Source organism: Homo sapiens, chromosome 7 (assembly GCF_000001405.40).
Source record: "Homo sapiens chromosome 7, GRCh38.p14 Primary Assembly".
In the NCBI taxonomy this organism is placed as follows: Eukaryota; Metazoa; Chordata; class Mammalia; order Primates; family Hominidae; genus Homo; species Homo sapiens.
In genome coordinates, this window is record NC_000007.14 from 56,013,800 (window position 1) to 56,026,204 (window position 12,405).

The window sequence follows — 12,405 nt, forward strand, 5'->3', positions numbered from 1 at the left end:
TCTGCAAGCCTCAGTTCCCCTATCAGTAAGAAGAACACAACATTTGGCCAGGCATGGTGGTTCATACCTGTGATACCAGCACTTTGGGAGGCCAAAGCAGGGGAGATCGCTTGAGCTCAGGAATTTGAGACCAGCCTGGGAAATATAGCATAACTCTGCCTCTACCAAAAACACAAAATCTTAGCTGGGTGTGGTGGAATGCGTCTGTGGTCCCAGCTACTTGGGAGGCTAAGGTGGGAGAATCACTTGAGCCCAGAGGGCGGAGGTTGCAGTGAGCTGAGAGCACACCACTGCACTCCAGCCTGGGTGACAGAGTGAGACTCTATCTAAGAAAAACAAAACAAAACATAATATTTGACTTCACAGGGCTGTTATGAAGATTAAATGAGGTAATGTATGAGGAGCTAGTATATAAAGCATAAAATGACATTAAAATCTTGGTTATGAGTTGTTGATGGTATTATTTGGGGAAATGAAATCAACTTATTGAGCACACACCTAGGCTAAAAGGTGGTGCCCATCCTACGGGGATAAGGCATTGTTAAAAGTTTTAAAAGGTTTTTAGTTCCTTATTCACAACTTTTCTTGGGTTTGCACAAAGTTGACAAAACAAGATTGAATGTGTTTTTATTACTTCATTTTTATCTTGTAATGAGAGTTGTTTTTGTTAACTCCTGTTTTAAATCTTATGTAGTTCGAAATCAGCTGTTTTTATTTTATTTTATTTATTTATTTTGTAGAGATGGGGTCTCACTATGTTGACCAGGCTGGTCTCAAACTCCTGTGCTCAAGCCATCTTCCTGCCTCGACCTCCCAAAGTGTTGGGAATATAGGATGCATCAGCTGTCTAAAACAAAAGTACGGCCGGGCACGGTGGCTCATGCCTGTAATCCCAGCACTTTGGGAGGCTGAAGCAGGCAGATCACCTGAGGTCAGGAGTTCGAGACCAGCATGGCCAACGTGGCGAAACATTGTCTCTACTAAAAATACAAAACTTAGCTGGCATGGTGGCGTGTGCCTGTAATCCCAGCTACTTGGGAGGCTGAGACACAAGAATGGTTTGAACCCAGGAGGCGGATATTGCAGTAAGCTGAGATCACGCCACTGCACTCCAACCTGGGCAACAAGAGTGAAACTCCGTCTCAAAAAAAATAAAGAAATAATAAATAAATAAATAAAACAAAAGTACAACCTGAAAAAAAATTAGCACCCTTAATACATACAGCAGGAGGACAGGCTTCCATATCTGTGGCACCATCTCCAATCATGATTATTTTCTTAAAATGAAATTTTTCCTTTAAAAGTTTAATCACTTTTCCTTTTCCACCAGATTCAGCTGTTGGCTGCGTCTCATCAAAACCTGCATATTCACCTTAAAAGAGAAATAAAAATAGGGTTAAAGACCCAGAGAAGTATCTGACCAATGCCAGCTTTCTGCATAGATGATATCTTCACTTAAATGTCACTGAGAAGGCTAAAAATGGCCGTCGGTAAAGTCACACAGCCTGGAGCTCCACACCTGTTCCTGGGAATAAACAAGCTTTGCTTTGCTTTTATTTCCTTTTATGATTATGATTATGATTATAGAAATGGGGTCTTGGTATGTTGCCCAGGTTGGTCTGGAACTCCTAGGCTCATGTGATCCTCCTGCCTCAGCCTCCCAAAGTGCTGGGATTACAGGTGTGAGCCATCACACCTAGCCAACCTTTGCTTTTAAATTATAACTATCAATTGTAGAGATGGCTCTATTAGGTCATAAATAAATTGGGTGAATTTTGTTGTATCCTTTAAGCTTCCAGTAATTCTCAAACCTTGTTGAGGTGGCAGAACACCATAAAATAGTAGTATCAAATTAATTAATTAATTAATTTATTTTTGAGACAGTGTCTCACTCTGTTGCCCAGGCTGGAGTGCAGTGGTGTGATCTCGGCTCACTGCAATATCCGCCTCCCAGGTTCAAACCATTCTCGTGTCTCAGCCTCCCAAGTAGCTGGGATTATAGGCGCATGCCACCACACCAGCTAAGTTTTGTATTTTTAGTAGAGATGGGGTTTTGCCACATTGGCCAGGCTGGTCTCAAACTCCTGACCGCAGGTGATCAGACTTGCCTCGGCCTCCCAAAGTTCTGGGATTACAGGCGTGAGCCACCACACCCAGCCTTAATATATTAAATTTAAAATGTTAATATATTATGTCACCCAAGAGGAAATTCCAGCTTATTTTTTATCAATTATTTCTATTTTTACAGTAATTACCACACTCATTCTTGACTTCTTTTTTCAATGATCTCTATCTCTAGATCATTCAAGAATGTTCTGTTAACATACAGTGGCTCACGCCTGTAATCCCAACACTTTGGGAGGCCAAGGCAGGTGGATCATCTCAGGCCAGGAGTTTGAGACCAGCGTGACCAACATGATGAAACCCCGACTCTACTAAAAAAAAAATACAAAAATTAGCCAGGTGTGGTGGTGGGCACCTGTAATCCCAGCTACTTGGGAGGCTGAGGCAGGAGAATCGCTTGCACCCAGGAGGCAGAGGTTGCAGTGAGCCGAGATGGAGCCACTGCACTTCAGCCAGAGCAATAGAGTGAGACCCTGTCTCAAAAAAAAAAAAAAAAAAAAATCACTATCAGTCACTCCTTGATGTAACTGGCGATCTGAGATAATATAACAGCTGTGGCACCGCTATGGACCAGAGAGGGGACAGGAGGCTTCCCCAAGGGCTGTAGTTCAGTAATCCATTAACAAAAGTCTCCCTTCTAAAGTCTCTGTCTTGTTTTTTTTTAAAGACAGGGTCTCGCTCTGTCACCCAGGCTGGAAGTGCAGTGGCGAGATCTCAGCTCACTGCAGCCTCCGCCTCCCAGCTTCAAGTGATTCTCCTCCCTCAGCCTCCCAAGTAGCTGGGACTATAGGCATGTGCCACCATGCCCAGCTAATTTTTGTATTTTTTTTTTTAGCAGAGTTGGGGTTCCACCATGTTGGCCAGGCTGGTCTTGAACTCCTGACCTCAAGTGATCCTCCCGCCTCAGGCTCCCAAAGTTCTGAGATTACAGGCGTGAGCCACCGTGCCCAGCCAAAAGTCTCCTTCTTGAGTCTAAATTGCTTCAAATGCATAGAAGCTCCCATAAAGTTGAAATATAACATATAGCAAAGTAAGTCATAGGGGGCTTCGTAGGAGTTAATGTTTCACGAAATGCAGACATTTATGTACAGACAGGTGATGTTATAGATACCAAAGCTAGGACAGGTGATGACCTAAGTCTATTTTGCTGAGCAAAGGGTACCAAAGGGCAAAAGACATCAATTAAGAGAACCATTCATCTCAATATTTAACTCTGATGTGACTGTTCAAGTTGCATTCCAAAGACATTACCCAGAATACTGAACAATGGAACTGCTAAGAAAGGGAACATGTTACTGTTAACATCTTACCGTTAAAGTAGAATTTCAGCCTATTGGCAAATACATTGGTTGCTGGGATATTGAGCTTTGAAGCAACATGCTCTACAATACTCCTAAAGCCACCAGATATTAGGAAAACCTGAACATTTCGCTCCTGTAGGCGACTTACCAGCTCCCTGCAAAATAAAATACAAAATACCCAACACTGAGTAATACAAAAGAAAAAAAAAAAAAAAACGAAACATGAAGAGGGAAATAAGATACATTTTCTTCTCCTGAATGCATTTGCCTGAGGTATGTTTGACAAGGTATACTGCCTGGGGTGTTAATGTTTTATATATGTTTTTCTTTTTCTTTTTTTTTTGAGATGGAGTCTCGCTCTGTCGCCCAGGCTGGAGTGCAGTGGTGCGATCTCGGCTCACTGCAACCTCTGCCTCCAGGGTTCCAGCGATTCTCCTCCTTCAGCCTCACAGGTAGCTGGGATTACAGGCACCTGCCACCACACCCAGTTACTTTTTTTTTTTTTTTTTTTGAGATGGAGTCTCCCTCTGTCTCTGTCATCAGGCTGGAGTGCAGTGGTGCGATCTCAGCTCACTGCAACCTCCTCCTACAGGGTTCAAGCGATTCTCTTGTGTCAGCCTCCCGAGTAGCTGGGACAACAGATGCGCACCACCACGCCCAGCTAACTTTTGTATTTTTAGTAGACATGGGGTTTCACCATGTTGGCCAGGCTGGTCTTGAACTCCTGACCTCAGGTGATCTGCCTGTCTTGGCCTCCCAAAGTGCTGGGATTACATGCATGAGCCACCATGCCCAGCCTTATATGTTTTTCTAAATGCACTTAGAAATCAATGGGTAGGGGCTGGGCGTGGTGGCTCACGCCTGTAATCCCAGCATTTTGGGAGGCCGAGGCAGGTGGATCACGAGCTCAGGCATTCGAGACCAGCCTGACCAAAATAGTGAAACTCCATCTCTACTAAAAATACAAAAATTAGCTGGGCATGTTGGCACATGCCTGTAATCCCAGCTACCTGGGAGGCTGAGGCAGGAGAATTGCTTCAACCTGGGAGGTGGAGGTTGCAGTGAGCCGAGACTGCACCACTGCACACCAGCTTGGCAACAGTGCGAGACTCTGTCTCAAAAAACAACAACAACAAAAAAAAAACAATGGGTAGGGTTTGTCTGCTTTAGGAAACCGTTCCAGAACTCTACTCTGCCCATGGACCCAGAAAAACACAAGATGAGGACAAACAAGGAAAGCTTAGGTTTTCCCTGGAGAAAGAGGAAAGGCAGAAACCGACAGGACCAGACAACTGGCCAGACAAGACCACGTGTAAGTGCCAAAAGCACCACACAGGCCACGCCTTTAAATCCAGCAGTTTGGGAGGCCAAGGTAGAAAATCACTTGAGGCCAGGAGCTTGAGAACAGCCTGGGCAACATAGCAAGACCCCCATCTCTACAAAAAATATTTTAAAGGCTGGGTATAGTGGCTCAAACCTATAATTCCAACACTTTGGGAGGCTGAGGTGGGAAAATTGATCATTTGAGCCCACAAGTTCAAGACCAGCCTGGGCAACATAGTGAGACCCTGTGTCTACAGAAAATTAAAAAAAAAAAAAATTAGGCATGGTGGCCTACGTCTGTAGTCCCAGCTACTTAGGAAGCTGAGGCAGGAGGATCCCTTGAGCCCAGAAGGCTGATGCTGCAGTGAGCTCTATTCATGCCACTGCACTCCAGCCTGGGTGACAAAGTGAGACCCTGTCTCTCAAAAAAAATTTTTTTTTAAAAATTAGCTGGGCATGGTGGCATGCACCTGTAGTCCCCACTATTAAGGAGGCTAAGGAGGGAGGGCCACTTGACCCCAGGAGTTCAACGCTGTAGTAAGCCATGATTATACTACTGTACTCCAACATGGGCAACAGAATGAGACGCTGACTCTAAAAAAAATAATAATAGGCCGGGTGCAGTGGCTCACAGCTATAATCCCAGCACTTTGGGAGGCCCAGGCAGGCAGATCATTTGAGGTCAAGAGTTCAAGCAGTGTGGTCAACATGGCGAAACCCATCTCTACTAAAAATACAAAAATTACCTAGGTGTGCTGGTGGGCACCTGTAATCCCATCTACTCGGGAGGCTGAGGCAGGAGAATTGCATGAACTTGGGAGGCAGAAGCTGCAGTGAGCTGACATTTCACCACTGCACTCCAGCCTGAGTGACAGAGTGAGACTTCATCTCGAAAAAATACAATTTAAAAAAATAATTAAAAAATTAAAAAATGAAAATGAAAATAAATAAACCACCCAGAGGGCACTCTAAAGGAATAGTTAGATGCTCTTGGGAGGATGTGCCCCCCAACACTGGTGCTGAAATACACCTGGAGCCGGGGTTCCTCTTACCTTATGCCGGGGGTCAGGTGTGGGGGTTGCTCTGCTATGAGTCTCTGCACCTGCTCCCTGGAGGGCTGGATGAGGGCTAAGCGCTCTGTGAGAGCAGCTTTGAAAGGCACTGCCCCGCCCATGGCTCGCCGTGTCCTAGGAGGGAGACCCAACAGTCAGGCCAGCCAGGTCCGATGTCCTCAAGGTTAACATGCCTTACTGCCCCGGGTCTGCACGACATCCACCAAAAGGAAGATGCTACCAAGAGCCCAGTGTGCAACAGACAGGCTTTGCTACTAGGAGAGCAAGGCCTTGGAATAAACTTTTGAAGGATTGCTTGAAAATAACATTAACAGGCTGGGTGCAGTGACTCATGCCCATAATCCCAAACACTTTGGGAAGCTGAGGTGGGCAGATCACCTGAAGCCAGGAGTCTGAGACCAGCCTGGTCAACATGACAAAACCCCATCTTTACTAAAAAAATGCAAAAATTAGCCAGGTGTGGTGGTGCACGCCTGTAATCCCAGCTACTTAGGAGGCTGAGGCAGGAGAATTGCTGGAACCCGGGAGGCAGAGGTTGCAGTGAGCCAAGATCTCACCACTGCACCCCAGCCTGGATGACAGAGTTAAGATTCCATCTAAAAAAAAAAAAAGGCACACAGCCTATCCATAGGTATTTTTCTTGCAAGCTGTGAGCTGTCATAAATCAAGAAAGAGACCAAAGGTTAAGCATTCTTCCATGAAAGGCAGTTGAAAATGAAATAGTGTCCGGGTGCAGCAGCTCATGCCTGTAATCCCAGCACTTTGGTAGCCCAAGGTGGGCGGATCACGAGGTCAGGAGTTCGAGACTACCCTGGCCAACATGGTGAAACCCCATCTCTACTAAAAATACAAAAATTAGCCGAGCGTGGTGGCATGCGCCTGTAATCCCAGCTACTCAAAAGGCTGAGGCAGGAGAATTGCTTGAATCTGGGAGGCAGAGGTTGCAGTGAGCTGAGATTGGGTCACTGCACTCCAGCCTGGGTGACAAAATGAGACTCCGTCTCGAAAAAAAAAAAAAGAAAATGACATGGTGCATGACTGGGGGACTGGGACTGCAGAGGGAGGTCCCCAGCTGCAGGGCGGGAGGGCAGGAGGGAGAGAGGGGATCTGACCCAGGATCCACCAAGAGACTCTGAACCTTTCCAGGGAACCACTAAGGTCACACTTTCAACCATGACACAAAGCCACTGGACACTTGGACCTCGCCCCCCAGGCCATCTTCTTTAGTTAGTGACGGTTGTCATTCCCCGATCAAGCTAAGAACATGTCTTATCCATGTTTGTTTGCCATAAATATTTATATAAATGAATGAATATGTCAAATTCAGCTCTAAGGAATGAAAGAAAAAGCCTAGTGCAAATGTTCCATAGCCAGGGTCTAGCACTTCATCCAAAACAGTCACTCTTTAGAAAGTCTTTATCATTTCATAAAGTGAATAAATGCTATCCCTACATTTCTGACACCGCGTCCTCAACGCCACAGATTTTGGCTAGCTCATCGATTCCTTCTTCTCTGATGACCGTGCTGTCAACATCAAAACACACAGCATCTGCTGAGTAGAAAAGCTTCCTCAGCTCTGAGTGGGAGACCATCGCTGGAAGAATTTTCCTCCTACAAGAAAAAAGATAAATGTATTTAAAGACATCAAATAAAATTATGAAAAGATCCCACCTTGCCTACTAAGCCAATCTAATTTGTGTCAAAGTCAGTGCAGGCCACATAAGAGTGTTCTCACAGATTCATTTTTTTTTCCTTTTCTTTTTGTTTACTTCCCACACTACACCAGTTTCTTCTTTCTTTCTTTCTTTTTTTTTTTTAGGTGGAGTCTTACTCTGTTGCCCAGGCTGGAGGGCAGTGGTACGATCTTGGCTTACTGCAACCTCCACCACTCAGGTTCAAGTGATTCTCCTGCCTCAGCCTCCTGAGTAGCTCAAATACCTGTGCCTCCTTGAAGCCATCTTTCTTTTCTTTTAGATATATATATAGTTGTTTTTTTTTTTTCTACCTAATTGTAGTGAGGAAGCAAGCATTAAAGCGGAGGTGTGAGGCCGGGCGCGGTGGCTCAGGCCTGTAATCCCAGGACTTTGGGAGGCTGAGGCGGGCGGATCACGAGGTCAGGAGATCCGAGAACATCCTGGCTAACACAGTGAAACCCTGTCTCTACTAAAAATATAAAAAAATTAGCCGGGCGTGGTGGCAGGCGCCTGTAGTCCCACCCACTCGGGAGGCTGAGGCAGGAGAATGGCGTGAACCTGGGAGGTGGAGCTTGCGGTGAGCCAAGATCGCGCCACTGCACTCCAGCCTGGGCGACAAAGCGAGACTCCGTCTCAAAAAAAAAAAAAAAAAAAAAAGCAGAGGTGTGCATAAGGCTCTGTGGGAACACAGGAAAAATGTTTAGCCTTATCTATGAAACAGGGCTTCAGACTGGGCACAGTGGCTCATCCCTGTAATCCCAGCACTTTGGGAGGCTAAGGCAGGAGGAGGATTGCTTGAGGCCAGGAGTTCAAGACCAGCGTGGGCAACATAGAGAGACCAAGTCTCTACTAAAAATAATAATACAAAAAATTAGCTGAGCATAGTGGTGCACGCCTGTAATCCCAGCTACTTGGGAGACTGAAGCAGGAGAATTACTTGAACCCAGGAGGTAGAGCTGCAGTGAGCTGAGATCGTGCCACTGCACTCCAGCCTGGGCAACAGAGCAAGACCCTGACTCTAACTAAAAGAAAAAAAAAGAAGGCTTCAAGGAGGCACAAGTATTTGAGCTGAATCTGACAGGTAAGTGGCCCTCTGAGTGGGTTGTCAAAGGGCAGGGCATCGATTTGGCATGTGCTGGGAGGAGAGGGAGCGGGGGTGGAGACAAGGAGGGAGGCTTGTGATGGCAGAGCGAGGAGTGTGAGCAAAGACAAGGAGAAGGAAGCAGATGACCTGCTGGAAGCTACCCTATGGCTTGGCCCAGGGGCCTGGCTGTGCATCAGGAATTCACACTAAGCAGGTCCTAGGGCCAGGCTAAGGAGTTTAGACTTTAACTTCCAGATACTGGGAAAGGCTTTAAGCCTCAGAAAAAAGGTCAGAGCTAAATATGAGGGCTAAACATACACAATGTCGCCAATGTACAGGGGCTAGTTGAAGACATGGTCTGATTAAAGTCCAGGAAGAGGCTGGGCGCGGTGGCTCACGCCTGTAATCCCAGCACTCTGGGAGGCTGAGGCGGGAGCATCACTTGAAGCCAGGAGTTCAAGACCATCCTGGCCAACATGGCAAAACCCCATCTCTACTAAAAAACTAAAAATTAGCCGGGCAGGATGGCGTGCACCTGTAGTCCCAGCTTCTCAGAAGGCTGAGGCAGGAGACTCTCTTGAACCTGGGAGGCGGAGATTGCAGTGAGCCAAGATCACGCCACTGCACTCCAGCATGGGGCCACAGAATGAGACCCTGTCTGAAGAAAAGAAAAAATCATAAAAATAAAGTCCAGGGAGAATAGAGAGAGGGAGAAGAAAAGAGTGCTAAGGACAGAGCCTGCAGGACCACCACCTTTATGTCCTGACTTGAGCCTGGGAAGGAGAACGAAAATGGTGAAGGTACAGGAAGAAACTCTGGAAGCCACACTGCTACAGAAGCTGCAGAGGACAGAGAGTCAAAACAAATTTTTTTTTTTTTAGACAAGTTCTCACTCTGTCACCCATGCTGGAGTGCAGTGGTACAATCATGACTCACTGCAGCCTCCAAATCCAGGGCTCAAGTGATCCTCCTGCCTCAGTCTCCCAAGTAGCTGGGACTACAGGTGCGCACCACTATGCTTGGCTAATTTATAAATTTTTTTTTGAAGAGATGGGGGTCTTGCTATGTTGCCCAGAATGGTCTTCAACTCCTGGACTCAAGCAATCCTCCCACCTAGGTCTCCCAAATTGCTGGGATTACAGGCATGAGCCCCCATGCCTGGCCTTTATTTTTTAGAAAATCTTTGGACTAGAATTAGGATGAAAGGGACCCTCAAGATTGCCTAGACCAGCCTCCTATCAGAGACTAATATGTCATATACAAGGCTACACAGATGATGTAAGTAATCTATATTTAGAATAGACTGCAGTTAAAAACAGACTCAAAGCAGTTGAACAACCCACTGCTCAACTGATTTCCAACCAATGCAGTTGGCAGAATAAGGCCATTTTAAGTTGACCTGGAAAAAAAAATATTTTAAGTCAGGGGTCAGCAAACTATAGCTTGTAGGCCAAATCCACCCTGCCACCTGGTTTGGTATGGCTCACAAGTAAGAATGATTTTTACATTTATTTTATTTTACTTTTTTTTTTTGTTTTTTTTGTTTGAGACAGAGTCTGGCTCTGTCGCCCAGGCTGGAGTGCAGTGGCGCGATCTCCGCTCACTGCAAGCTCCACCTCCCGGGTTCACGCCATTCTCCTGCCTCAGCCTCTCTAAGTAGCTGGGACTACAGGTGCCTGCCACCACGCCCGGCTAATTTTTTGTATTTTTAGTAGAGACGGGGTTTCACCGTGGTCTCGATCTCCTGACCTCGTGATCCGCCCGCCTCGGCCTCTCAAAGTGCTGGGATTACAAGCGTGAGCCACCGCGCCCGGCCTACTTTACTTTTTTTGAGACAGGATCTCATTCTGTCACCTAGGCTGGAGTGCAGTGGTGCCATCATAGCTCACTGTAGCCTCAAACTCCTGGGCTCAAGTGAACCTTCCATCATGGCCTCTTGAGTAGCTGGGACTACAGGTGTGAGCCACCACGACTGGCTGATTTTTACATTTTAAACAGTTGAAAAAAAAATCAAAAGAAGAATAATATTTTTTGACATGTAAAAACTAATGAAATTCAAATTTCAGGCTGGCTGCAGTGGCTCACACCTGTAATTCTAGCACTTTGGGAGGCTGAGGTGGGAGGATTACTTGAAGCCAGGAGTTCAACACCTATCTGGGCAACATACCAAGACTTCATCTCTACAAAAGTATTTTTAAAATTAGCCAGGTGTAGTGGCACACACCTATAGACCTAGCTACTCAGGAGGGTGAGGCAGAAGGATTGCTTGAGCACAGGAGTTTGAGGCTGCAGTGAGCTATGACCATGACACTGCACTGCAGCCTGGGTGACAGAGTGAGACCCTGTCTCAAAAGTAATAATAATAAATAAAAATGAAATTCAAATTTCAGTGTCTATTAATAAATCTTTTTTTTTTTTTTTTTGAGAAGGAGTCTCGCTCTGTCACCCAGGCTGGAGTGCAGTGGCACAATCTTGACTCACTGCAACCTCTGCCTCCCAGGTTCAAGTGATTCTCCTGCCTCAGCCTCCCAAGTAGCTAGGATTATAGGTGCATGCCACCACGCCCAGCTAATTTTTGCATTTTTAGTAGAGATGGGGTTTCACCATGTTGGCCTGTCTGGTCTCGAACTCCTGACCTCAAATGATCCTCCTGCCTCAGCCTCCCAAAGAGCTGGGATTACAGGTGTGAGCCACCGTGCCCTACCAGAGCCACAGTACCCAGCCATTAACATAATGTCTTTATTACATAATTTATGCCCATCACGATCTGGCTCCTATGCCTGTGGATTTTACCAACCTCAGTCCGCACAAATACACATACACACACATTTTTACACACACACATTATTCACATGCACATGCACACACATACACACACACACATTTTTTTTTATTTTGAGTTAGGGCCTCACTCTGTCACCCAGGCTGGAGTGCAGTGGTGCAATCTCAGCTCACTGCAACCTCTGCCTCCCTGGCTCAGCCTCCTGAGCAGCTGGGACTACAGGCAGGCATGATATCTGGCTAATTTTTTGTATTTTTAGTAGAGATGGTGTTTTACCATGTTGCCCAAGGGTGGTCTCAAACTTTTGGGCTAAAATGATCCATGCGACTCAGCCTCCCAAAGTGCTGGAACTACAGGCGTGAGCAACTGCGCCTGGTGACACACACAATTTATGGCTCAAGGAATACTAAGGACTTTTTTTTTTTTGAGACGGAGTCTTGCTCTGTCACCCAGGCTGGAGTGTAGTGCAGTGGTGCAATCTCGACTCACTGCAACCTCCCCATCCCGGGTTCAAGCAATTCTCCTCCCTCAGCGTTCTGAGTAGTTGAGACTATAGGCACGTGCCACCACATCCAGCTAATTTTTGTATTTTGAGTAGAGACAAGGTTTCACCATGTTGCCCAGGCTGGTCTCGAATTCCTGACCTCAGGCAATCCACCTGCCTTGGCCTCCCAAAAGTGCTGGGATTATAGGCATGAGCCACCGCACCCGGCCTATGTCATGTGTTTTTTTATTCCTCTACACCATTTCAAATGCTGCTCCTCTGCCTGGAATCACCATATCCCCCATGTCATGAAGAAAGTCCTACTTCTTCACCGTGCAGATCAAGTGGCCTCCCTTATACCACATTATTTCCTCCCCATCAACCCAGAAAATCAGTCAATCACTCCAGTTGAATTATCTTCTATCTCTGCACCCAGCACCCAATAGGTGTTAGTTAAATGTTTCATGAATTAAATATTTTATGAATTAAATAGAGTTGAACCTAAGCAGTTATTAAGAACTCAACAAGGGGCCGGCTGCA

General features: G+C 46.1%; 1 protein-coding gene across 36 annotated transcripts in view; it reads right to left on the reverse strand.

Moving 5' to 3' along the window:
• Window positions 1-12,405, reverse strand: part of PSPH (phosphoserine phosphatase) — a 40,381-nt gene that overhangs the window by 2,736 nt on the left and 25,240 nt on the right. For 29 of the 36 annotated variants that reach the window (NM_001370513.1, NM_001370514.1, NM_001370509.1 and 26 more), the window contains 4 exons: window positions 7,274-7,432; window positions 5,801-5,935; window positions 3,435-3,580; window positions 1,224-1,372 (listed from right to left, as the gene is read on the reverse strand). In NM_001370513.1, coding sequence (NP_001357442.1) covers window positions 1,224-1,372; window positions 3,435-3,580; window positions 5,801-5,935; window positions 7,274-7,413 — 570 coding nt within the window. In that variant the 5' untranslated portion in view covers window positions 7,414-7,432. Of the gene's footprint in view, window positions 1-1,223; window positions 1,373-3,434; window positions 3,581-5,800; window positions 5,936-7,273; window positions 7,433-12,405 lie in introns of those variants that run through there. The other 7 variants (XM_047420652.1, XM_017012469.3, XM_006715761.3 and 4 more) reach the window with 2 other exon arrangements.